General features: G+C 54.9%; 1 protein-coding gene across 3 annotated transcripts in view, besides 1 other annotated feature; it reads right to left on the bottom strand.

The window, feature by feature from the left end:
* COL5A1 (collagen type V alpha 1 chain) overlaps nt 1-25,675 on the bottom strand; it is a 203,041-nt gene that overhangs the window by 28,578 nt on the left and 148,788 nt on the right. For all 3 annotated transcript variants that reach the window (NM_000093.5, XM_017014266.3, NM_001278074.1), the window contains exons 33-52: nt 21,140-21,184; nt 20,951-21,004; nt 19,848-19,892; nt 19,365-19,418; nt 17,805-17,858; nt 14,259-14,312; nt 13,271-13,378; nt 11,202-11,291; nt 11,052-11,105; nt 9,970-10,077; nt 6,976-7,083; nt 5,958-6,011; nt 4,874-4,927; nt 4,667-4,774; nt 3,764-3,817; nt 3,554-3,661; nt 2,230-2,283; nt 1,362-1,469; nt 637-690; nt 278-331 (exon numbers count right to left, since the gene is read on the bottom strand). In NM_000093.5, the coding sequence (NP_000084.3) occupies nt 278-331; nt 637-690; nt 1,362-1,469; nt 2,230-2,283; nt 3,554-3,661; nt 3,764-3,817; nt 4,667-4,774; nt 4,874-4,927; nt 5,958-6,011; nt 6,976-7,083; nt 9,970-10,077; nt 11,052-11,105; nt 11,202-11,291; nt 13,271-13,378; nt 14,259-14,312; nt 17,805-17,858; nt 19,365-19,418; nt 19,848-19,892; nt 20,951-21,004; nt 21,140-21,184 (1,422 nt within the window). The remainder of the gene's footprint in view (nt 1-277; nt 332-636; nt 691-1,361; nt 1,470-2,229; nt 2,284-3,553; nt 3,662-3,763; nt 3,818-4,666; nt 4,775-4,873; nt 4,928-5,957; nt 6,012-6,975; nt 7,084-9,969; nt 10,078-11,051; nt 11,106-11,201; nt 11,292-13,270; nt 13,379-14,258; nt 14,313-17,804; nt 17,859-19,364; nt 19,419-19,847; nt 19,893-20,950; nt 21,005-21,139; nt 21,185-25,675) is intronic.
* Nucleotides 11,093-11,593: an enhancer, noted in NCBI's record as "H3K4me1 hESC enhancer chr9:137696519-137697019 (GRCh37/hg19 assembly coordinates)". NCBI's record gives its function as "activates a minimal SCP1, AML or CMV promoter by ChIP-STARR-seq in primed H9 embryonic stem cells {active_cell/tissue: H9 hESC(primed)}" and the evidence as "EXISTENCE:reporter gene assay evidence [ECO:0000049][PMID:30033119]".

Genomic DNA, 25,675 nt, shown 5'->3' with positions numbered 1-25,675 from the left:
CATGGTGGGTCGTGGAAGCCCTGGGGCTGCCTGCAAACCTGCTGCTGAGACAGCACGTGCATCTCAGAGGGAGTTCATGAGCTCTGTCACTGTCCAGAATCAATATCATAAGGGAATCAACATCATAAGGGAATCAATATCATAAGGGAATCGATATCATAAAGGAATCAATATCAACTAGGTTGGAGTTTTTCCCAGAAATGAGTCAAGCAAGCTGCAAGGTCCCAAGAATACACTGACACCTCCACCAGGAAGCCAGCCCAGATTGTGGACTCACCGTCTGCCCGGGTTCACCATCATCTCCTTTGTCACCAGGGGGACCATCTTGACCCTATGGAGGCAAAAGCGAGCTCCTTGCTGAACCCCGGATGGCACCCTGAGTTCATGCACCAGTTCCCAATGCATCTCCAGCCCCTTCCCAAAACCCAAATCCATTCTGGTGCCAGCACAGAGCATGGTCAGTGGGGTCAAAGGCGTTTTCTTGCTCTGATCACCGGAACACGAGTGCCTTTTGGGACATTGCCTGCCCCAGTGGGAGTTCATCACAAAGAACCACCAGAAAGAGGGGAAATGGGGCTGGCAGAGGCAGGCCAGCACTGTGGGGGATCCGGTGGCTTTGCCCTCTTGAGCACCTACCGCGGGGCCAGGCTCTCCGGGGGGGCCAGGATCTCCAGGAAAACCCACTGGGCCCTGAAAGGAAGAAAGAAGGAAGCAGCCAAGGCCATCAGCAACCTGACTGAGACCACACACGGCCAATCATGTCACCACCTCAAGATGGCCACCTGCCACCGTCCAGCTCCTAAGACTTTCCAGCAGTTCCGACAACCCAGTGCACTTTATGGCCCAGAGACCCTTCCACGTGCAGCATGTCCCAGAGCCAGCAAGCCTGGCCAGTGGGCATGGCAGGGGTCAGCTGGTCTCTTGCTTTCCAGAGCCAAGCAAGGGGCAGGCGTTCCGCCCACAGGTCTATTCCTGGGAGCTCCAGGCTGCAACTAGAACCTGGACCTTCAGACTTCCGGAATGTGCCTCTCCGAAGCCCCTCCTGATGCAAAATCAGGGCCGGCCAAGGGCGGGGGCAACTTCCCAAAGCCTGGCTGTCACTCGTGCATCTCAGCCGGCCGCCTGGCCCACAGAGAAGAATCACTCAGGGCTTTCTCCTCCAGTCCACGCCCTGTCTCATCTCCACTATTTTGGTTCAGTAGCTGGTATGAAAACCTCTAGTGTCTAGAAAATTTACCCAACACATGGAATGGTCTTGAAGCTGTTCTCAGAGCAGAGTGCACCGCCAGTGAGTCAGAATGATCCCAGTGCAGAGCCCCGCCCCTGCTGCAGGGCCCCTGAGGTGTGTCTGGAATACTCACAGGGCTGCCTTTGGGACCATCATCTCCGGGAGGGCCTTTGGGTCCAGGGGGTCCGGCAGCACCTGAAGGGCCTGACTCGCCCTTCTCTCCCCTTTCTCCTTTGGGTCCCTGGAGGAAAGAGGCCAGTGTCAAGTCCTCAGAGCCAACCACGTCGCCGCCCAGAGCAAGGTGGGCCTCCCCGGTTTTCTCACCCCATTCAGACCAGCCTTTCCAAGTATCTGCTGAGCCCTGCAGGGGGCTGGCTGCCAGGTCGCTCCCCAAGCCCTGGGCAGAATCAGCTCCTGTGTGCACCCTGAGGGGGACCTGAGGAGCCTTCACTTTCTGGGGCCCTCAAAGCCTGAGATTCAGCTCTGGGTGGGAGGGACTGACTCCTGGACCAGACATCAGTCAGTGAAGACCACAAGGGGTGCCCACAGACTCCACGGATCTCATGGGGAGGGAGCAGCTAGAACCAGAAGACCCGAGTCCACCCAGCTGGTCCTGGGCCTGAAAGCCACCTTTGGGCTGGCCTCATAGTGAACATTCATCTGGCCTGAGAAGGCCTGGATATTCCTAGTCTGGCCCTCAAGGTCCGGGGGGACGAGGTGACAGCAGCTGCCCCGCGAAGGGGCCAGGAGCAAACACTACAGAGGGTAGAGTTACTGCAGGCCACTGGGCACAGGTAGCTATTGCTAGGTCTGCGTGTACATGCTGACTCCCACATCACACACCTTGTTCACGGTCATTCCATGAAATGGGCACAAGAGGGGTTACAACTCCCATTTCGTGGATGGAAAAGCTAAGGCAGAGCCAGAGCCTCCAACCCAGCACCCCGTCCACACACCCGCTCGGCCATATCCCACCCCTCCCGCAGCGCCCGCTCACTCACCGGGGGGCCGCCTTCTCCCGGAAGGCCAGGCTCACCTGCTTCGCCAGGCTCGCCCTAGGGAGACAGTGCATGTGGTTATGGCAGCGGTGAGCACCGCGATGAACGCAGTGCTACGGTTTCAAGCATTTGCCAAATCCTGCCTGCTGTCTGCCTGCCCCTGGGCACCCAGGACCCAGGGGTTTCTGGGGAGTGCTGTCCCCACACACTCCCAGAATTGGAGGTGCGTGAGGAATGTGGCAGGCACGTGATGGATACAGGGCAGAGTGTCCAGACTGCAAGCAACACTGTCTGTGAAGGCTTTCCCGGAGCGCTGCTCCAAGGGTTGTGGAGGGCAACTATGAGAAGCTGGTAAGTGGCTAGGATGGCACTCCAGGTGGGGGATGGCCAGGGCCGAGGCAGGAGGACAGGCACGCAGTCCTCAGGGACACAGGCCAGAGGGACGCAGGGAAGAGGGCATGCACAGTGGCAGCAGGTGAACAGAAACATGCGCCCTACAGCGGGGACACCAAGGAAAACACCGCCTCTCTGAGCAGAAGCCGCACACCATCACCCTGTGGTCTCAGCAGGGCATATTCCTCTTTAATTTCTGTATCATAAAAAATGAGCAGCGGTGGAAGGCGTCTTCCAATTTAATGGCCTGATTGATGTCAGAAAGAAAGCTCTGGAAACGGTGCACAGGGGGCTCAAGTGCATGGATGTACACTCTGTCTTCCCTCTTGTCCAGGGGAACTGGGAGAGGTGCTTTTGCAGTCAGGCAAATGCTGTCCCACCCAGCATGCAGGCACACACACATGCACCGATGTGCACACAGGAGCTCACACACACAGGCACACACACACACACGACTGGGTCCATGACGCTCATGGAGTCTGGGCTCCAAAACCAATCAGATCAAATGGAGAGGACCCATTTGAGAAAATAATTCGGCTGAAATGGAAACTGCAAGCTTAGAAACACCAGTTATTTAAGGAATAGATGATCTCCACCAGAGCTGAGTCTTGGAGGAGGCAGGGGCTTTGCTGGTGGGGCATCGTCTGGAAATTCTGCAAAAGGCTGTCACAAATGGACAGTCAGAGTTCCCAGTTCCATTTCACAAGCATCTGCCTACATTTCAAAATGCCCTTCATAGGAATAAACCAGCCATGCCCACAGAAATGAGTACTTCTCATCTCTGTGTACACACAGAGAGGTACACACACGTGTATGCACCCCCACAAGCGTGTGCATGCGCACATACACATACACACAGACACACACACACAGACACACACACACACTCCTCAAACAACCGCAAATCTGCCACCAGAGCAGGCACGAGCCTCACCTTCTCTCCCACTGCACCAGGGTTTCCTATTCCACCTGGGGGACCTTGTGGGCCATCAGCACCTGGAGCTCCGGAGGGTCCTCGGGGGCCAGGGGGACCCGGGGGGCCCTAGGAAAAGGGAGAGACCACTGAGCCCAGAGGAAACGCAAATGTTTCCCCAAAACATGAGCCGCTAGTACGGCAAGGCCTTGGAGTCTCAGGCACACTTACCATCTGGCCCACGTCTCCTGTCTCACCCTTCTCGCCTGGAGGTCCTGGCAAACCCTGAGAACAGGAAACTTCCCAGTTAAGCGCTGTTCTGTCATGTGTATGTCAAACACACACACAGCTTTCACGACCTCCACCCACACAGCACCACTGAGCCCCCGAAGCCCCGGGAAGGTGCTTCTCTGTGCATAGCTACCCACGAGGACGTCCCGGGGTTCCCAGTCTCAGAATCGGCCCGAGGAAATAAGCAGAGAAGATTGCAAAGATTTACGACAAAGGTGATTATGGCAGGAACCCATAAAACAATAAAGCCTAAGGAGCCAGCAGGGGACGCCTGGGTAAATTATGTCACCACCAGATGCTGGCTTACTGTGCAGTGACTAAAAATCATGTTTTCCAAATAAATAGAAAGTCATGTGTAATGGCATTCAACACACTCGTAACATAAAACGGGAATGGAGGATGGAAAATGGGGAAAGCTGGGAACAAACTTTCTCTCTGACTTATGACATGATTCATTGTCAAACACCAAATACAATTACATATGCGCCTCTGTGCATGAGAATACACACATTTAAAAGGCATGGCCATGAAACATGCCCAAATGTTTATCGTTGTCATCTCTAGGAGGTGCATTTAGAAGTCACTGTTACTATGTTTCTCACGAATCATCAGTTTCCACAATGAGCACAGAAATAAATGCCACTGCTGAAGTGTGGTAAATGCGGGCATGTCTGGAATTCTGGGAAGCTACAGCACTTCCAGTTGGAATGAGGAGGCCCAGGAGGCCCCCTGCAGCCTGGCTTTAGTTTTCCATTCTTAAAAAGACAAGAGGAGAGAGCACAATGAAGACACAGGGGGCGTCAGAAGCGGAGGAGCCCGGTGTGGTGAGAACCCCACAGTTACCTGCAGCCCCACTGGCCCAGGGGGTCCAGGAAAGCCTCTGGGACCTTCATCACCTTTCTGCCCGAAAAGGCCCTGCTGGCCCCGAGGCCCCGGCTCGCCGTCAGCTCCCTGCAGGGAAATAACCGGCCATGGGTGAGGATGCTGGCAATGCCAGCAGCTCTGGGGGGGCGTGGGGCTTTTCGAAGGTCATTGACCATGGATACTCACAGAGGGGCCTGGCTGTCCGATGGGGCCTTGAGGACCTGTAGGCCCAGGAGGACCCTGCGGGGAACAAGACAGAGACATAGGTAGCTTCTTGGATCGTGGATAAGGCTGAGGGAGGGGTGGACCGCATCCTGAGCCCGGGGACTGATGCATCCAACGTCGTCAGTTCAGTCTCCAAATGTGTCGTTCCTTGCACCACGATGCAAGCCTGCTGCAGGCTCTGGGAAGCAGATGAGGATCTTGGTTCCACCCTGAGCCCATTTCTGGATGGCAAAGAGCTGCCCCCAATGTCTCTCGAGACCACCGTGTGTCATCTCAGCTCCCATCATGCACCCACAACAGGGGCACGTGAGGCCCCCTTCAACAGTGAGGGTCCAGGATCACAAGCTCCTCTGGAGCCCTTGCGCCCAGCACCATGTCCCCTGCTGTGCCATCCTCAAGAGACCTCCCGCATGGGACCATGGGAAGGAGGCAAGCAAGGAGGGTACAGTGCCCTTGGCCCTGGTAGCCCAACCCACGGCTGGAAGAAGGACACAGCCTCTGTGGCAGGCCTCCCAGGAGCACGGATCCTGCTTGCCTAGGAATCAACATACTGGGGGAAAGGCCTGGCTGTACAGGATAAGAAGACATGTCACTCATCGGGAGGGAGCTGGTAGCAGAGTCATGGGGTTTTTGCAAGAACCCACTAGGATTTCTGAACAGATGAAAAAACCAAAAGGGGAAAAATGAACAGGCATTTGGTCAATGGTGCTGTCTCTGCCGGAGCATTCTGGTTCCCTCACCTCAGAGGGCAATGGGTGTGTCTGCAGAACCCAAGCCCTCTAGGACAGAAACACTCCATTTATTTAATTTCGCAAAACCGGTGGATGCTTCCTGTTCATTCTAACACAGAGAGACTCACTCCCAGATATGCACGCGTGTGCACACACACACGTTGTGGGAACACACATGCACGGGAGATTTTCACAGCATGTCCCGCTAGTCATCAGCAACGTTGGAAGAGAACGTGCATGGCACACGGCCTACAGCCTGCGACGAGGCCCCCCGGGACCTGGGGGCTGCCGCGCGCCCCCGTGCCAATACTTACCTGTTCTCCTTTGTCCCCCTTGCTTCCTTTCTGCCCCGGCTCCCCGATCTCTCCCTAGGGGAAGGTGTGGGGGATTCGGTTAGAAAGCTTGACAACCGTTTGGACCTTTTCTGTTCCCCGTAATGAATTTTTCTTGGAGATTAAGAACAGTGTCCTTTCCAGGTGGCCCTAAAACTTTCCTACGAATAAATGTTTCCATATATTAGCTTGATTTCCTTTTTAATACAAGGGCTAAAAGGGACGAGGTCTCGATCTGATGCTCGACAGGCTTTTAGTAGACTTGAAGATGTGGGAAAAGTCATATTGAAAATATTTACTCTGTTTTTCAAATTGGGCCACTACCATGACAACCTAACAACAGGCAACTCAATTACTATGTTGCCGAAGAAGTTATTAAAATCCTCTCTGTTGTTCCTGTCGGTGCAAGGCTGTCTCCCGCCCGGAGATGTAAGGCATTATCCATGCAGAGGTGACAAAGTCAGAAATGTCCCCAGAGAGGGGTCATCAATAGAAAGTTACAGCACAGCGAAATTTCACTGTCTGCGTTAAATGAAGGATAAAATGCAAGCTCCTGCAGCCATCGTTTTGGAATTATAAAGCACATTCTTAATGAACGGGAGCCTGGATAATTCAAGCGGAGACATTTAAAAATAGATACTGAGCAAAACCTCATTAAACCGGGCTCCGCAGTTTCGGAATTTGAAATTATTCGGGGGGACCGGGGAGCATTTTTCTCTGCTGTGGCTACTCACAGCAAATGTTGCAGGCAACCTCAAAATGACACAGGAGGGTGTGGTTTCTAAGTCCCTCGAGCGTGCCGGGGACGGCGTGTATTACCATTTACCAGTGGGCTGCTGTGAAATCATCCCCTAATGCCAGGACTGCGGGGTGGGTGTGGCATCACTCCGCTGGCTGAGCCGCTCTACCTGCCAGCATCCTGTCCTTTAAATTCACCACCCTCCCCCACACCCGTCTGCCCAGCCAGGCCCAGCCATGGGTCACTCTGGATTTGCCTTACCTTATCTCCGTCTTCTCCAGGGGGACCCACAGGGCCAGCTGGACCCGGGAGCCCCACAGGCCCCTGGAGACCGTCTCGGCCAGCTGGGCCTTGTGGGCCTTTCTCGCCCTAGAGAATACAGAAGATCTCAGGTCAAACGTGGCTCCAACCTGGGAACATCCCCCCACCAGCTCATTACCCAAGAGAGGGATCCGCTGGCAGGAAGTGGGAGTTGGTGAGGGTGACCGTCCCCACAGTCCTAATGGATTTCAGCCAGGGCCACTGAGGGCCGACTCTGAGCCCGCCCCTGGACCATGAACTTCTGGTGCATCGCTTCAATTAATCCACACTCATCCTAGGAAAGGCTGCTCTTTTACAGATGGGGAAACTGAGGCACAGTTAGTGAGCAGTAGAGACAGGATCCAAATCCAGCCGGCCAAATTCTTGAGCCTGTATGTGGATTGTCTAAGCTAGTGACCGGGAGCCAAGCCCAGTCACCAGGATAGCCTGAGCTCCAGCTTTCACCAGCTTTCTGATTCTTTACATTCTCTGCAGACACTCTCCCTGCACACACACACAAGGACATGCATGCTCACACATGAAGACATGTACGCACACACATGTGCATACATGCACACATGTGAACACGCCTATGTACACAGGTATGCATGCATGCACATGCATGTGCACAAAACAAGCATACTCGCATGTGCACACGTGTGAATATGCACCAACATGTGCACACGTGTGAATATGCACCAACATGTACACACAAGGACATATAAAGAAGCACACTGACATGTATGTGCATGCATACATGAGTATGCACGCACAGGTACACACACAGGACATGCTTGCAGGCATACGCACACACTATTTTTCCTGTCCTTGTAACTTTGATTCATTTTCCTCCTAACTGCCTGCTTGGTAATCTCAAATGATCCTTCTTAAGTTCTTGCTTTGCTCAGTTTGACCAGCCATCGCATCACTCTGTGAGCAGCCTATATTTTCTCACTGCAGACAGGGATCCCTATCTTCCGACAGATACACAGAAGGAGGGTGTGCACATTGGGAAGGGAAACATGGAATAGAGAATGTACATTCAATGTTCTGGTCTAAATGTAGCCGGGATTTAGTCATCCATCACTATTTCGTCTTACCATTCCTCCCTCCACAATTCATGTCCTGCTCCTCAAACTGAGCTCCTATTCATAGAAATGTCTACCCTACTTAAGCCAGAGAATGCAAAGACCACGTGTGGGGCTTTTGTGGAAGCTTCCTGTCCTACATTCCTGGTCAGGTCGGGAGTTCTCAGAGACGTCCAACCTTTGCTTGGCCTTTCCTTCCCTCTGGAGCTATTCTGGGAGGATGACGAGCTTCTGCCTGGATAGAGCAACTCTTGCAAGGTTTCTGCTCAAATATTTACTCTCTTGAAACTGTGAACCAAGCCATTTCCAGCTGACTTTGTGTGCACTCTATACACTGACTGCCCAGTTGGCTTCAGTTTTCTGGCACAGAATCCAGCTGGATCCATGTCCTGGGTGCCTCACTGGAAATGATTAGAAGACACCAAAATTGCCAATAATGTATTGAACAGATTCTCAATGGCCCAGATGTTTCCAATGTGGTTTCCAGGGAAGTTCCTGCCCAGGGAATGTAGGCTGTTCCTGCCACCCATGAGCCACTGAGAGTGAAACGTACAAGAAAATCACAGTTTCTGGCTGGGCGCAGTGGCTCACGCCTGTAATCCCAGCACCTTGGGAGGCTGAGGCGGGTAGATCACTTGAGGTCAGGAGTTCGAGACCAGCCTGGCCAACATGGCGAAACCCCATCTCTACTAAAAGTACAAAAGTAGCCGGGTGTGGTAGCACACATCTGTAATCCCAGCTACTGGGGAGGCTGAGGCAGGAGAATTGCTTGAACCCAGGAGGTGGAGGTCACAGTGAGCCGAGATTGCGCCACTGCACTCCAGCCTGGGTGACACAGCAAGACTCCATCTCAAAAAAAGAGAAAGAAAACAGCTTTCTAACAATCAGCACTCAGACCTAACTCAATTTGAGATGGTCTGCACCGATTATCTGCCAATTCCCCTGGAGAACTCAAGCTCATTCTGACCCTCTGTACTGGGAAGGAGAAGTTGAGATTAAATTGGTCTCCAGAGCTGATTGAATGCAGAGGTAGGGGACACTGCAAAATTGTGTGGCAGAAGCCAAATACGGGTCAGGGTGGACCACTTCTGGACGGTAAGTGGCATTTTGTGGGTTATTCACGAAAGCAGGCTAGCAGGAAGCATCTAGGCAAAAAGGGCGCTCGCTCATCTCCTTCTTGGAGACCAAGATCTGGGTGGCCTCAAGACATGCTCCTCCCCACTCCCGAGGCTTCACAAAGCCTGCAAAATTCGGGGCTTACCAGCAGGTGGGCTTTCCTGGACACAGAGGGAGGCGCCTTGTCTTTCCGTTATCCACCCATCCCCTGCCCCTTCTTTGCTGGACATCTGCTCTCTACACCTGCCCCCCAACCAAGAAACAGGACTCCCCGGTTCCAAACATCCTTTCCTAGGAAGAGCCCAGCCATGGGTCTGGGCCAGCAGCAGGGAACAGTTCACACAGTGGGCAGCTGTGGCCCGACCACACAGGTGGCACTGAGGCTGGACGGAGACCAAGTCCACAGCGCACTGACTGTCTTCGGCCCCTTCCTCTGTCCACGCATGTGGGGAACACCAGCATGCACGCGTGGACAGGCTGAGACCGGCCCAACATCATCCCACAGGGCTCCTCTGGCTCAGCTGATGGCGGAAAGAATGTGGCCGGCACCAGGACTCCTCCTGTGCTCCTCAGGCAGGTCACCAGGTTCCCATGGGACACACGCTCTGTCCTAGAGGGCCGCAGACCCCACCCCATCCCCAATCCCAAGGAAATACCCCTGGGGACATCACAGGGGGAGGGACAAGGCCAGACACGGAACGACCCCAGCATCTCTGAGGGAAGGGCTCCCCCAATCCAAGGCAGTACTTACAGGAGCCCCTTTCTCTCCTGCCGGCCCTGGGGGTCCCTGGGGCCCAGGTCTCCCTGGAATTCCGATGGGCCCAGCGGCTCCAGCTGGACCTCTCTCCCCTGGAGATCCCTGAGGTGGAGCAAGAAAACAGTCTGCTTCAAAGGCTCTCAGACTGCGTGGTCGTGACTTTGTAAAGCACCAGCTGATCACTCCACTTACCTGCTCACTCTAGAGCCCACAGTGGCTCCCTATGGCCCTTTGCAAGCACAGACTACCTGGTCTAGCGTTCGGGGCTCTGTGTCTTCCTGTAACTCCAAGCTCCCAGGTGCTCCTCCCCCTGGTGTCTGACAGTGTGCCCTGTGGTGTGCTTGCCTTCAATGGGCTCCCTCTTCTAGAAGCCTGGCACCCCCTCCCCTTGAGGGTCTGCCCACGGGGCACCCTCTCTCCTCCAGGGCCCACATGTCTGTGAGGCACCCCCTTCCCTCTAGAGCCCACGGGGCACCCCCTCTCCTCCAGGGCCCACATGCCTGCAGGGCAACCCCTCCCCTCCAGGGCCCCCATGCCCATGGGGCACCCACTCCCCTCTCTGCTGTGCTCCTCCATGGGGTGCGTTTTCTAGGGGATGCCTTGCCTGGGGGCTGGCATATGGATGGGTGGGTACCTGGCCTAATCGTGAGGGCCATCCTGCCCAGTGGGCCCCCGCCGTGGGCAGCCTGGCTTTAGCGTGCATCTTCAGAGTCCCTGCAGACCCGTGTCTGTTTCTTCCCCTGCTGGCCCAGCCCAGACCCACGATAGGTGTGTAGGCTTTCTCCTTGCTCCTCCAGGGAGCATGCTCCACAGGCAACACAGAGTGGCTCCTCCCGCCCTCCAGGCTGCCCAGCACTCTCCTTTCCTCGGTGTGCCCCTGGGACCCTTCGTCATCCTGGCTGCCAGCTTGGGATGCGCCGTCCGCATCTCCCTGAAGGCCATTTTCCCCCCTCCACATCCTCCCCAGGCTCCTCGGGGGTCTGGGGCAGCTGCATGCTCTGGGCTCTCGGGGACTGCCCCTTCTGACCTGGAGAGTAGGATTCAAGAAAGAGGATGGGACAAAGGCTTTGACTCACCGCAGGGCCTGGTGGGCCAGGGGGCCCTTCATTGCCTTTCAGTCCAAGAGCTCCCTGCAAAGCCATGAAAAGGTTGGTCAAGGGCACGTGGGGAGAGGCCTCCAGGGCTGCACCTGTCCCATTTCATTCCCCGCCTGGCCTCTCACTCACCACTGGACCAGGAAGCCCTCGGTCCCCAGGGAAACCACGTAATCCTGGAGGGCCATCTTTCCCAGGGAGGCCTGCAGGGCCTGGGTCACCCTGAAAACAGAGTCAGAGATGAGCTTTCCTGGAGCCAGTGACGCAGACCTCTCACCAGCCCCAGAGCGAAGCCAAGGGCTGGGGCCTTCTCTCTTGGAGCCAGCAACGCAGACCTCTCACCAGTCCCAGAGCGAGGCCAAGGGTTGGGGCCTTCTCTCCTGGAGCCAGCGACACAGACCTCTCACCAGCCCCGGAGCAAGGCCAAGGGTCGGGGCCTTCTCATCAGACACTCCTGGACTTGGGTTGGATTGGGCTTCTCCTGGCCACTTTTCAGAGTCGTGACTGGACTCAGCAGCCCACACGTGGGAGCACAGCCTGAGCCTCCACCTGGAAGCCACGCTCATCTGGCGGGCTCTGCGTGCAAATCTGACTCTACCCCTGCTCCACGGAGTTCCGGGGTCCTTCCTCCCAAGGCCCTTAAGGGCTACGATGGGCCATGTGGGAGCTGAGGGCACGTCTATCTTTTCCATAGATTTGGGGCTCCTTGTAAGACCGTGCTCAGACAAAGAAATCCATGGTCGAAATAGCATTAAAAGCATCGTCCTAAATGGACTTATCACTTAAGGAACTTCTTCAAGCCCGAAACCACATTTTCTGAAAAAAAGTCACCCCTTAGCCTCGACTTTCCCTGAGGTACAGTAAAGCTTTGATATCTTCCAAAATGTTCTCTGGGGTCCAACATGGAGCACAGTGCTGTTTTCAAACGAGCAGGTCAAATGCCCGTGGCCGCCTTTCCAAGCTCGGAGAGCTCTCTTTGTGTCTAGAATACACACACGTGTGCATGTACACATGTGTATTTATTCCTATATCTACATGCACACCCGGGTGTGTGATTTTTTTCAGTATTTCTTCATTTGCTTCACTTTATTATTTTTCAGGTTTACTCTTCTGTGGTCCTACAGGCTGGAGAGCTTGCCTTTGTTGCATTCCTTATTGAAGAGCTGAAAGGGAAGGGCTATTTTTGTGCTAACACAGCAAGTTATGGCCAGTGAACCTGGGGCGCCCAGGGGAGGAGATATGAAAAGGGGGCAGTTGGAGCTGGCACCAAGAGGTGGGATAAAAACACGTTTGCTTTTCACTTTTATAATTTCTCAGGCTCTTGGGGTGAGGGCTGTTTTTTTTTCTTTTTTTTGAGATGGAGTCTCGCTCTGTCGCCCAGGCTGGAGTGCAGTGGCGCGATCTCGGCTCACTGCAAGCTCCGCCCCCCGAGTTCACACCATTCTGCTGCCTCAGCCTCCCGAGTAGCTGGGACTACAGGCGCCCGCCACCACACCCAGCTAATTTTTTTGTATTTTTAGTAGAAACGGGGTTTCACTGTGTTTTTTGTTTTTTGTTTTTAAAAACAGAGTTTCATTTGTGTTAACCAGGCTGGAGTGCACTGGCACGATCTTGGCACACTGCAACCTCCGCCTCCCGGGTTCAAGCGATTCTCCTGCCTCAGCCTCCCAAGTAGGTGGGATTACAGGTGCGCACCACCACACCCAGCTAATTTCTGTATTTTTAGTACAGATGGGGTTTCGTCATGTTGGCCAGGCTGGTCTCAACTTCCTGACCTCAGGTGATCCACCTGCCTCAGCCTCCAAAAGTGCTGGGATTACAGGCGTGAGCCACTGCACCTGGCTGGGGTGAGGGGTTTTTAAAAGGACCACTTTCTGCTAAACGTGTTATGGACACATGAAGTCCCAGAGCTTTTTATCCATTTCTGGGAGCAGGGCTGGCAGCTGGGGAGAGAGCAGAGGGTGGAGGATGGTGGTGACCCCTGCGCTCCCCCTTCAAGCCCATCCCTGAGCAGGTCAGCGCGACTCCTGGAGTGAATCAAGGAAAAGTGAGCAAAACGTGCGGTCTGGGGAGTGAACCGGCATGAGAAGCGTCTGTTTGACGAATTACCCATTCATCAGAAAAGGGCAAGAAAAACACAAAGTCCCAAAATGATTCCTGAGGAAACGCCTGAGCTGACACAGAAGGCTCCAGAAACTCACCTTCGTCCCTTCTTTTCCAGCAAGGCCCGGAAGCCCCTGTTCACCGGGGGGTCCAGGGGGCCCAGGGTGGCCACGCTCACCCATTGGGCCCGTTTCTCCCGTGGGACCCTGTGGGGAAAATCAGTGTCAGCCACAGACGTTTCGAGTGACTTGCAAGGGAGTGAGAATCTCTTCCTAAATCTAAGGACAGCCCTGGTCATGGACGCAAAGGTCTGCTGCGGGCACACCAAACCTCCAAGTGCCTTTGCAAGCCTTCTCTTCCCGGCAAAAATCTAGAGGGTGGGTGTTGGTACGCTGCTCACTGCCTGGCATCTGCTGGGCCCCGCGTGGCCCTCTTCCCCCACCTGGCGCCTTCAGGAGGCACGGCCAAGCCTGCCTTCCTGGGATGTGCCCTGAGGGAGGCTGATTCAGCCACAGGACAGGCCAAGGATGGGAGAAAAGCCACACCAGGGGCAGAGCCCACATGCCCTTCAGTTCTGTGGCTGCAGCAGGTCTACGTCTTACTCACCGCTACATGAGGTGTGCGCTTTCTAGGACACAAGGTGACCCCTCCCCGTTCTGCAGCTCTAAGCCATCAATCCTGGCTCTAAGCTGCCCCTGACACTGATCTGCCACTGGTCTGCGGTTAGAATCGCAGGCCCGTGACACCCACAGGGACCAGTGGCAGGAGGACTCGGCTGCCTTGGACACCCACAGCAGGGATGAGCCCAGCTCCTGAGCTGGCCCAGGTCTGGCCCCAGCCACCCTGTGAGCCTTGGGCAGCCTTCCTTGCCCTGCGTGTTGGGTTTGTGTTGAGGGCAAACACATCTGTGCTTGCTCCTGCGTGGGGCGAGCCTCACGCTGACCAACATTCAGGACCTAAGATAACCTCTCAGCAGTACCTGCACCTCCGGAATCGTGGAGGGAACAGATGCCCGGGCTGGGACCCTCTTCCCTGTGGGCAAGTGACACCGAGTGACCCATGGAATCTGGGAAGGCTGGAGCTTACCTGAGGGCCGACCACGCCGGGGGGGCCTGGAGGGCCGGTCTTGCCTTGGAAACCCTGTGAAGAGAGAGTCACTGCACTGACGGTGCTGCAGTGGCCTGCGCCACCCTGCCCTGCACTGTTCTCAGCAGGACGCTTGCCCCCCACCTCCCTTCCCCCCAGAGTAGATGTTCCAGACTTTGTGTAAGAGGCCCATGTCTCTTGTTTCATTTTTTTTTTTTTCAGATGGAGAGTCTCGCTCTGTCGCCCAGGCTGGAGTGCAGTGGCTCGATCTTGGGTCACTGCAACCTCTGCCTCCCAGGTTCAAGTGATTCTCCTGCCTCACCCTCCTGGGTAGCTGGGATTACAGGCACACACCATCACACCTGGCAAATTTTTGTATTTTTAGTAGAGACAGGATTTCACCATGTTGGTCAGGCTGGCCTCGAACTCCTGACCTCGTGATCCACCTGCCTCAGCCTCCCAAAGTGCGGGGATTACAGGCGTGAGCCACCGTGCGTTTGCACTAATTTCACGAGGGTAACGAAGCCACACAAGCTCATCTCACTGGCTGCTCTCCTGCCTCTGCATCTTTAGGCCGACGCGATTCGCCTTTATCATGTCACCAAACGCTCCTTTTCTGAGTTGGCTTGGTGCCCTTTCTGGACCCGCGACTACCTCTGGCTGTTTCTCAGCAGTGGCTCTGTGACGACTGACCTGCTTTGGCGTGAACGCCTCTGATGCACGACGGGTGACTCTGCCCGCGTGCTCCTCAGCATGTATTTAAAACAGGCAAGAGCGAGGGCCAGCTGCTTTCATAACTCGGCAGCTTGGATGCGTTATTTTTAGCTTGATTCAGCGGGAATATCTCACGCCCGCTCTGCATGCTCACGCGTAGATAACGATCCTGGCTTGGCTGTGGGTGTCGCCACGACTTCTGTACTCTCCCTCAAAGGAGAAAGATGACCTTAAGGCAACATAAGCTTCTTTTCCAGGCACGTCTGCAGAGCATGACAGGTGCCAGCGAGAAGCCATCTGCAGGTGCCACATGACACTGGTGGAGACATGCACACCTTCTACCCGGAGGCCTCGAGGCAAACTCTAGACGCTGGAGGAGAAGGTGGCTGGCCCTGAGGCCAAGCTAGGGCTGGAGGGTGAGCGGCCTCAGGCCTGGGCTCACTGACTCACTGTCCAGCAGTCAGAGGCAAAACCTCACACCAAGCCACGGGGCCACATGAACCCACAGCAGACTAGCTTCTTTTTTTTTTTTTTTTTTTTTTTTGTTTGAGACAGAGTTTCACTCCTGTTGCCCAGGCTGGAGTGCAATGGCACGATCTCGGCTCACGGCAGCCTCCACCTCCCGGATTCAAGCGATTCTCCTGCCTCAGCCTCCTGAGTAGCTGGGATTACAGGTGCCTGCCACCATGCCTGGCTAATTTTTGTATTTTTAGTAGAGACGGGGTTTCACCATGTTGGCCGGGCTGGTCTCAAACTCCCGACCTCAGGTGATCCGCCCATCTCGGCCTCCCAAAGTGTTGGGATTGCAGGCGTGAGCCACTGTGCCCAGCCCAGACTTAGCTTCTTTGCAAACTCTAGGAGGGCTCGCCTCTTTAAGCCCAGCTCAGCTGTGGGCTAGAATGATCGTTTCTAATGTTCATTGCACTTATGGGGTCAGAAGTAAGGAACGGTGGATGGGTGTCAAGGGCATGCCCTGCTCAGTGGACCCGGGGAGAAGAGCTCAAGAGCCTGAAGGGAGATCGGAGCCTTGGTTAAGTTTTGCTAATGTCAAAGTTAACACGAAACAAAAAAGGCCTCCCCAGGGCCCTCGGCCACCCTGGCTGTTGAGGACAGAATATGACCTTAGCCCTTTGCTGAGAAATAAGTTTCTGGCTCACATTTAGGAGAAATAATGACCGTTGGTGTTTCATATTTTTAAAAAAGAAGGAAATCAACACTGCAGAGAAGCTCTTTCTGGAAGGCTTGTCTGGACTAGCCCATGGAGGAGATGCTATGTCCCAAGTGGCTCTCAGAGACACAGGCATCACTCCAGCGCCATGTGTCTAGAGAGGTGGCCGGGGTGGCAGAAGGCAGCCGGAAGTACATGTGCAACTTTCTGAGCAGAGACAAGCAGCTTAATTCTTTCACCAGCCTCCGTCCAGAATAAGTCAGAGGGAGAAAAGCACATAATATGTAAAACCTTCTATCTTGTCTCCTTGAAAAGGCATTAGAGAAAAATATGCAAAGCTCAGAAGAAATGTTTTAATTTTTCTCTATAAACAAAAGAGCAAAGCAATCTCCATTTATCAGGCAGCATGCGCCGTGCAGAACACCAGTGAAGGTATAATTAAAAGAGGTTTCATCACGATGAACCAAAGAGAGACAAAGGGGATTTTTTCAAAGCAGGCATGGAGAATATATTCAACAGGGCACTCAGAGACCCATTCCACGAGGGGACCTGCTTTTGCTGGGAGAGTCCTGTAGAGACCTTGATCCCTAGAAACCTGGCTGCAGGGACCCTTGCAGTGATCCTGGCATGCCCCTCACTCTCCTCTGTGGGAAATGTTTGCATCTGTGCAATTCATCCTTTAAGCTGGACAGAGTAGGTGGGCACTCGGAGAAGGAACACAGCGTGGTGACGAGGAAGTCACCCGACACTGCACGTCCCCAGATATTCAGAGCCTGGAGCCCCAAGCTTGTAGGTGTGGGCCAGGTTACAGGCGTGCCTGCACCCTTTCCTGAAACACACCTTTAGGGAGCTGGGCCAAATTTCGAAGGGCTGATGGGGCCAGGAAAATGATCCCATTTCTGATGAGGGCTTTTTCTCCCAACTGAAAACACTGGAGTCCTTTCTGGTCTGGATGAAGTAGCCTGTGATATGCATTTCTAAAGTGAAGGGCAAGGTCAAAGGGGAGTCTCTGACTACAAAGACCATGTGCCCAGCGGAGTGACTAGTTAGAGGCCACTTCCACCTGACTGGCGCTTGTTTTCTTTAGTGTAAAAAGGGACATTGCAGGCATCCTCCAGACCCCCTGGATTGGAGCTGGAAGGGCCCGGGTGAACGTGGGTGGGGTTGGTGCATGGCCCACAGCCGCCCTCTTGAAGTATTGCAGCATCGAATGACTGAATGACGCTGAGTAACATGTAGACCCTTTCCCAGCACTTTCTCAATTAAAAGACGTATCCCTCAAGCGGGGTAGCACTCAGCATTATTCTAGAGGGAAAATAAGGCTGGATGCATGAGGCTTCAGTCGGCCCAGGATAATCTGTGTGTGTCTTTAAATGTGGCCTCTCACCAAAGTTTCCAAAACCAGCCCAAAGCCAACACCTGCCTTCTGCCCACAGATGCCATAAGGCGCTGCCGGCCTGCATGACTGCTCTGCCCTGGCCCTGCCTCACAGCCTGGCTCTGAGTCAGCGGAAGCCGGCCCGGCCCTTGGGAGCCTTTCTGAGGCCAACCTGTCTCTCCCAGGCCAGGAGGGTCCTAGATGGCGCTGGGCAGCGAGGGCTGTGCCCACGTGCAGGGTGGTCAGAGAGCCAGCCAGCCACGTCCCCCAGCACCCTCGATACTCACAGTCTCGCCTCTCTGTCCAGGGTGTCCTGGGAGTCCATCCTTGCCTGGAGGGCCCTGAAGAAAAAACCAAAGGAAAGGAGGTTCATTCGTGTCTGAGAAGCAACCACCTTTGAGAATTAATGCCACGTGGAGTGACCGTTATTTCCATGGCTCCTGCCCCTGCACATCCTCTGAGAAAAGCAATCACCTGGCAGGCACGGGGACAGTGACAACAAATCTAAAGCTGTCCTTGGCTCCTGCCTGTCCTCGTACAAAATCCTCACAACTGCCCCATGGGACGTGCTGTTGTCACCCTCATCTACCAAGGGAGAAACCGAGGCATAAGAGGCCAGTTGGTATCCTGAGGTCCAGCCAGCAGGTGACACAGCCGGTGCCAGGACCCAAGTCTGTCCAGTTGCAAAGTCCAACCTCCTCCCACCAGCCCCGCCATGCCTGCTGGGTCATAATCCCACTGCTAGATGGTTGTCCATACTGGAGGAGATACATCACACCTGCCATAAGGCGACGTGTGTCCCCAAAAAGGACATGTGGAAGCTCTGACCCCCAGAACCTGTGCCTGTGACCTCACTTGGAAATGGGGTTTTTGCCAGTGTAACTGAATTAGGATGAAGCCAACCTAGATGGGTGTGGGCCCAGCCCAGTGACTGGTGTCCTTATAAAATGAAAGAGATGGCCGGGCGTGGGGGCTCCGGGCACGGTGGCTGTAATCCCAGCACTTTGGGAGGCCGAGGCAGGTGGATCACCTGAGGTCAGGAGTTCGAGACCATCCTGGCCAACACGGTGAAACCCCATCTCTACTAAAAATACAAAAATTAGCTGGGTGTGGTGGCGCATGCCTGTAATCCCAGCTACTCGGGAGGCTGAGGCAGGAGAATGGCTTGAACCCAGGAGGCAGAGTTTGCAGTGAGCCGAGATCGAGCCAATGCACTCCAGCCTGGGCGACAGAGCGAGACTCTGTCTCAAAAAACAAAAAAAGAAAGAGATTAGAAGACAGAGAGACACAGACGGAAGTCCACGTGAAGATGGGGGCAGTGGCCAGGGTGAGTGTGCACAGGCCACTGGGTGCCAAGGACTGGCAGCAGCTACCAGCCCCCGGGAGAGGCCTGGTACCCCATCTCCCCTAGAGCTTCCAGAAGGTGCCAGCTCTGACTGACCACACTTTGCTCTCCAACTTCTGGCCCCCAGGGCTGTGACAGAAGAGCCACACCCAGTTCTAAGCCAGTTCCTGGTCATTTGTGATGGCGGCCCCAGGGCACTAACACAGAACTCAGAGAAAATCACTTCAGTCTCAAGGAGAGAGGACCCCAGCGTGCAGCCCTCTCCAGTGCCAGCGGGCCCGGCAGTGGGACACAGCCACAGACTGCCCCACAGCCGCCTTGGCGGTGGGGGGGTCTCCCCCTCATCTGACCAGCCAGAATTTCACCTCGGGCCTCCCTCCACCCACCGGCCACTGTGAGGAGCTCCGAGCAGACCTCAGAGAAAACAGGCGGGTTTTGGAGGGGACAGGTGGGTTTTGGAGGGGACAGGCAGTGCTGGCCCAGCAAGGAAGCCATTACTTACAGGGGGGCCCTTTGGTCCAGGAAATCCTGTGGGTCCTTGGGGTCCATTGGGTCCCTGGGAACAGAGAAAGGCCAGTTTGAGGACAAGAGGTCTCTCCCGAGCAGCTCCTGCCGCTGACCTGCCTGTGCCGGTGGCTCTCTGAACGCAGGTGTCATTTCTTCCCACCCCCATGGCCTTTCCTCCATTATTCCAGCCCCTCCCTCACCCTGCCTCACCCTCGGGGGCAGGATGGGGCCCAGGACCCATTTCCTGTCATCTCGGCCACTCCCAAACCCCAAGACCAGGGCTGCGGTCGAGGCCCCTGACCTACGGAAGAGTTCACTCCCAGGGCGTGACCCACCCTTGGGATCTTAGGAAAACCCTACCCTTCAGCAGGGTCTGAGGCGTGCCTCCCTGGCCCCAGCCCACCCCAGGACAAAGTGCAGGGGGCATTCGAGGCAGGCTCTGCCCTTGGAGACACCCCCGAAGGCTCCAGCTGCTTACCCGTTCACCAGGAGGGCCAGCTGGGCCGTCACCTCCGGAGTTGCCCTTGAGAGGGAAGGAGAGGGGGGAAAAGCTTATGATTGTTATTATTTGGATGAAAAGACTCTGGCCCACAACGTCATCAAAACGTCTGAGTCAAATATTGCCTGTGTGCACCCCTGAAGGTGGCCCTGACCCTCAGTAAGGGGCAGAAGGCATTGGCGCTGATCTGTGGCTATCAAAGCCTGCCTGTCCCCGTGCCTCTGCATGCAGCTGACAGCCCAGTGTCTACAAGGCTGGACATTTCCAGAACAGTCTCCTGAGTGGGACAAAGGCTGTGCCCCAGCCTCGAGCACCTGGAAAAGTCATGCAAAGGCAGAACGCAGGGACCCGCTCTAGGGCCACCCCCATGTGACAGCTGCTGCTCTGAGTTCTCATAGGTGAGCCTCAGGTCAGGTCACGGGGCACACGAGAAGTGCCCCAGAGCTTGTCCTGGAGGAGTTCAGGGTGGCCTGTGGGTGCATTCCGGTCAGCCGAGGGACGGGCCAGCTCGGCCCCTCAGCCCTTGGAAGACTCATCCCAGCAGGAACCCGCTCTGGAGTGGCATCCTGGACAGGTAGGAGTAGCCTGCCTGCTGGGTCTGTGTCCAGATTCTCCACCCAAGGAGTGGCTTCAATGCCCCTCGGTGGGAAGAATGTGCATGAGGCCGGCCTGGGCCTTCCCCTGCCAGAAAGCACTTTCTGTAGGTTCTGGTAGAGGCCTCTGCAGCTCTCAAACCCCTTTCAAGAGAGGAAATGGGGCCTCCCGACCAGGGCGGGTGAGTCTGCGGTGGGCCTGGCCCCCTGCTGCCGTCTTTGGGGTCCCAGGTGTTGGGGCGAGGCCCTGTCCCTGCTCTGCTGGGGCCACTTCTCATGACCATCGTTCTCAGCCACTTAATTACATCTGATCTGAGGCATCCAGAGGCTGCTGGAGGGGACAAGCTTCTTAAACACACCTAAGAAAATGTCCTGCCTTTTTTTTTTTTTTTAATAAAAAAGGTCACAGACACCCTCAGACGCTCCACGTCTCTGTAGCCTTGCAACTTGGGTTCACGCCGCCCACCGCCCAGGAGGCCAAAAACATACCTTGGGGCCAGGCTTCCCAGTGATGCCCCGGGGGCCTCTTTCACCCCTCGGACCCTGGACAGATGGGAGAGAAGGAAGGTCAGCTCAAGTCCCGACACACAGACACTGCCTTCCCCCAGCCCCTGGCACGTGCTCCCTAAACCATGCTCCCGTTTCCCAAACATGCCCACAAGCTGAAAGGGTGGTTACCGTTGGGCCTCGCTGCCCCCGCGGTCCTGGCTTTCCAGGGGTCCCCTAGAATCAGAGAAGGGGCTGGTCAGTCACTCTCTAAATGCCCGGCCCTGCTCAGGTGGCAGCTGTCTCCCGGGTTATTGAGAGACTGTGAATTCAGAGCAGGATAGGAGGAACCTGGGCCTCCCCGCCACCCACCTTTTCCGTGTTTTAATAGGAGATTTATCAGGGCGAGAAGCTCACCGCACACCCGACACACACAGCTTTGCACTCCTGCACAAGTCCTGCTGAAATCCAATTTTCCTCCTGCAGTCTGATGGATGTTTATACTATTATCTGGTTTCTTTCCTCAGAGCACCGCTACATCCCTCCTCCTCCTTCCTCCCTCCTTCCCCTCCTCCTCATCTCTCTTTCTCTCTCTGTCCTCAGCAGGGAGGGAAATCATTATTGCAAGAAAAGAGAAGAAAGTCAACCCCTTTCATACATAATTTACTTTTGCTACAGTTAAGAATATTAGCCATTAAATTTTCAACAGGCTCTGCAGACGCGCAAACTTGGAATTTAATATATAAATCATATATCCAAGAGTCATCGGCTTCTCCTCTAATAGAATTTATACTCTTTTTTCTGTTGTTGTTTTGCATTTTCCAAACCACAGAAAACAAATGCAGTGCAAAGATGTCAGAGCTGGAAAATGTAGTTAAGCTACATTACACGGAAGCCACGGGCTGAACACGCAGGGGCCCCTACATCCCCCACCGTGTCCCAACTCAGCTTCCTGAACTTGACTGGTTTCTTTTTTGTTTCTTTTTTTTTTTTTTTAGACAGAGTCTTGCTCTGCCGCCAGGCTGGAATGAATGCAATGGTGTGATCTTGGCTGACTGCAACCTCCGCCTCCCAGGTTCAAGCGATTCTCCTGCCTCAGCCTCCTGAGTTGCTGGGACAGACTACAGGTGTGTGCCACCACGCCCAGCTAATTTTAGTAGAGACAGGGTTTCACCATGTTGGCAAGGATGGTCTCGATCTCTTGACCTCGTGATTCACCCGCCTCAGCCTCCCAAAGTGCTGGGATTACAAGCGTGAGCCACCGTGCCTGGCTGAACTTGACTGGTTTCTGATGCTCCGCCCAAGGTGGATCTGTATGGCTGGAGGCCATCAGATAAGTTTCCGCTCATCATCTTTCATTCATTTGCTGCCAGAGTCAAAACTGCTTCCTAGAGTCTCCCATTTTGAAATGCATTTATTAAAACCATTTATGATGATGAGTTAATTATGTAGCTTTTTAACAATGCGCTCCGGTTCCAGTTCTTCAATTACTATGGTGATATCCTCTGGCTTCAAATAAATATTTGCATATGAAAATTAACGAAACATCTGCTTTCTTCCAGTGATAGGCGTTCTACAGGCGAGGATGCCCACGGCCAACCTGATGACTCCTGGCATTTAGGTGCGAATGAGCCCGGGCTGCCAGATTTACTCATTCCCATCCTCCCCTAGAATGAAAACCCTCCACCCTAAAACAGTCCCACTATGACCTGGACCACAGGTTTAATCCTGCAACAAAAATGACTGCAACCCAAACTGACTGTGCCCGAGGCACAGGCGCTGGGGCCCTGGCAGTTAGCAAAATACCGGCTCGACCGCAACGCCATCTGGGGCTCCCAGCAGGCATCTTGCTCATCTGTTTTCTTTATAAACTAACTCAAGCCAAAGAATCTCGAGTCCCTGTGACTGGAGCTGTGGAACAGAATGCCCCCCCCAGCCTCCTTAGCCTTCCTTCTCCCTTGCAAATTGCTTGTGGGCACCTGTCTTCTTGCCCTTAGGAAGGAGTGGACAGTCCCAGCAATGGCCATGCTGGGAAGCCAAACGCAGCTTGAGAGGGGACCTTCTACTGGGGAAGTCAAACACAGCTAGGAGAGGCCTTCCACTTTCGGGCAGGTGCATCTGAAGAGCGGGTCTTTCCCCCTTCCCGGGAAGGGGCTCCTGGGATCCCTCCTTGGCCCGAGGCCCGAGGGGCAAAGCGACACTTTGCTCACACCCACTCCTCTTCCTTTGGCTTCAGCTGGCTTGACATAGCAGCTTATGTTCCTGCCATTTCCACGTCTGGCCCATAGTCAAGGTCCACAGAACCAACGCTAGCTCTGCAGAAGGTAGGACCAGGCAGACAGACAGCAGGCAGACAGCAGGCAGCCCTCATGTGGAAGGCAGACACACATACACATGCGCACACACACGCGCGTGCACACACGCGCGCACACACACGTGTGCACAAACGCGCGCACACACACGTGTGCGCACACACACATACACATGCATACACACACATGCACACACATGCACGCACACATGCACACACACATATGTACACACACGCACACACACACATGCACGCATGCATGCGGACACTCAGGCCTGGCATCCTAGCACCTAGAAGCATCCATCTGGCCGGAATATCTAAGATCTTCTAAAAGACCTCTCTGGGCCGGGCATGGTGGTTCACGCCTGTAATCCCAGCACTTTGGGAGGCTGAGGCGGGCAGATCACTTGAGGTCAGGAGTTCGAAACTGGCCCGGTCAACATGACGAAATCTTGTCTCTACTAAAAATACAAAAATTAGCCAGGCGATCTGTAATCTCAACTACTTAGGAGGCTGAGGCAGGAGAATTGCTTGAGCCTGGGAGGTGGAGGTTGCAGTGAGCTGAGATCGCACCACTGCATTCCAGCCTGGGTGACAGAGCGAGACTCTGTCTCTAAATAAATAAATAAATAAATAAAAGACCTCTCTGGATGAGCACAGACATCCCACTGGCTTTCCCTTCAACCCTTGGAATGGTCCCCTTCCCATTCCTGCCCCACACTGGGACCAGAGCTGTTTCAAACAATCTTCAGTGCCATTCCCCCTGGCTAAAACCTTCCGTAGGTCCCAGTGCCTCAGGATAAAGAGCTTCCCCCAAAGCAGCTGGCTGCCCCGGCAGGCTCTGCAGCCCACAGCCCACTCCCACGTCTCCCTTGCCGGGCTCGGCCCTGTGCCGGCCCCCGGCTCCTCACCTCCTGACCCCACAGCTCTGCCTGCTTTCCATACCTCACCTATCCACTTCTGTCCCTCCTGCAGGGCTCAGCAAAAATGTCACTGCTCCAGGAGGCCTCCCTGGACCTTCTGGGTCAGACCCTGGTGCCTATGACCTTTCCCTGACTCACCCTTGTCCTTCATCATCACAGCCACCACTCCTCTGAGTGCTGCTTACCAGGTGGTGTTCCACTCTGGATGCCAGAGGGATGTCTGCTTTGACCACCAGAGTCCTCAGAGCCTGGCAGAACACCCAGCACTGAGAAAGGACTCGCGATGCATGTGCTGTTTAAGTGAATGGACTGCACCCAAGACTACCAAGTCCAAAGCCCAAGGCAAAAGAAGGGCGGCCAAGGGCGAAACCTGGGAGGCAGCATCTGTTCACCGAGGCGCAGAAGGCAAGCCAGCGCCCAGAGGCTTCTGGGTAACCTAAGTGAGGCTTCTGCAGTCAACAAAAGAGGAAGGGTCCCTTTGCAAGGACAGCCCAGCCCTCAGCTTCCTGTGGACATTCGGGAAGCCCAACCTACTAGATCAGAGGGCACCCACACTCTCCGTCATTCCCCGAACTTGGTACAAAGCATCAACCCTGTCCAGAAAGCCAGGCAGTGCTGCAGGCTTCATTCTGCAGTGACGATGCCACTGAAGGCTCATGCGGGCAAAGGCTGTGCTCAGTGTCCTGAACGGGAGGCTCTGAAGAGCTGTGATGGCAAAGATGAAGGAGGCCAGGGCTCCATCTCACACACATGAACCACCACTACCATGGCTCAAGGGGAAGCACACGGCCTCGCCCTTTTGGCCTGAGGTCTGTGTTGTGGGTTGTGCCACCAGCCAGGTGCAGCAGTGAACGAAATGTCCTTGGGCAGGGCCAGACACCCAGAGGCTGCAGAAAGGCTGTGAGTAGCTCCTATGTGTGACTGGGGCATGTGGTGCCTGGCAGGTCTGGGCTTGAGTCAGGTTTGTGTTGTGTCCCGTGACCCACAGTGCTGATGCCCTGGACATCTGGAGCATCCATCTAAGCTCCTCGGCTCGCCGGTGGGGAGGCTGAGACGCATGAGGGGCAGAGCCCCAGTCAGGAGCATGGGAGTGAGCAAGGGCTCCAGTTGCTCCACGAGGTCCCTGGTCCCACACAGTCCTCCATGGAAAGGGCTTGCAGTCACAGCCCATGACCAGCTGCAGAAGGCCATATCCTCTCCCAGACACTCTCACTGCAGTGCAGTGTGAAAGGTCCCCCAGCACAGGAGCAGCCCACCGGGGTACCTCACATTCCCCATGTTTCTCACAGTGGTACCTAAGAGTATTTCAGAAGACAGTGTATTCCCAAAGGCACTACTCAGGGCTTCTCCAGAAGAAGAATGACAGCTGGATAGAGACAGATGGAGAGGTGGATGGGTTGGATAGATACTGACAGAGATAGACAGATAATAGAAGATGGATGGATGGATGGATGGATGGATGGATGGATGGATGGATGGGTGGGTGGATGGATA

The sequence above is a fragment of the Homo sapiens genome, chromosome 9 (genome assembly GCF_000001405.40).
Source record: "Homo sapiens chromosome 9, GRCh38.p14 Primary Assembly".
NCBI lineage: Eukaryota > Metazoa > Chordata > Mammalia > Primates > Hominidae > Homo > Homo sapiens.
Note: the sequence above shows the minus strand (reverse complement) of the source record. Positions and strands in the feature narration are given on the sequence as shown.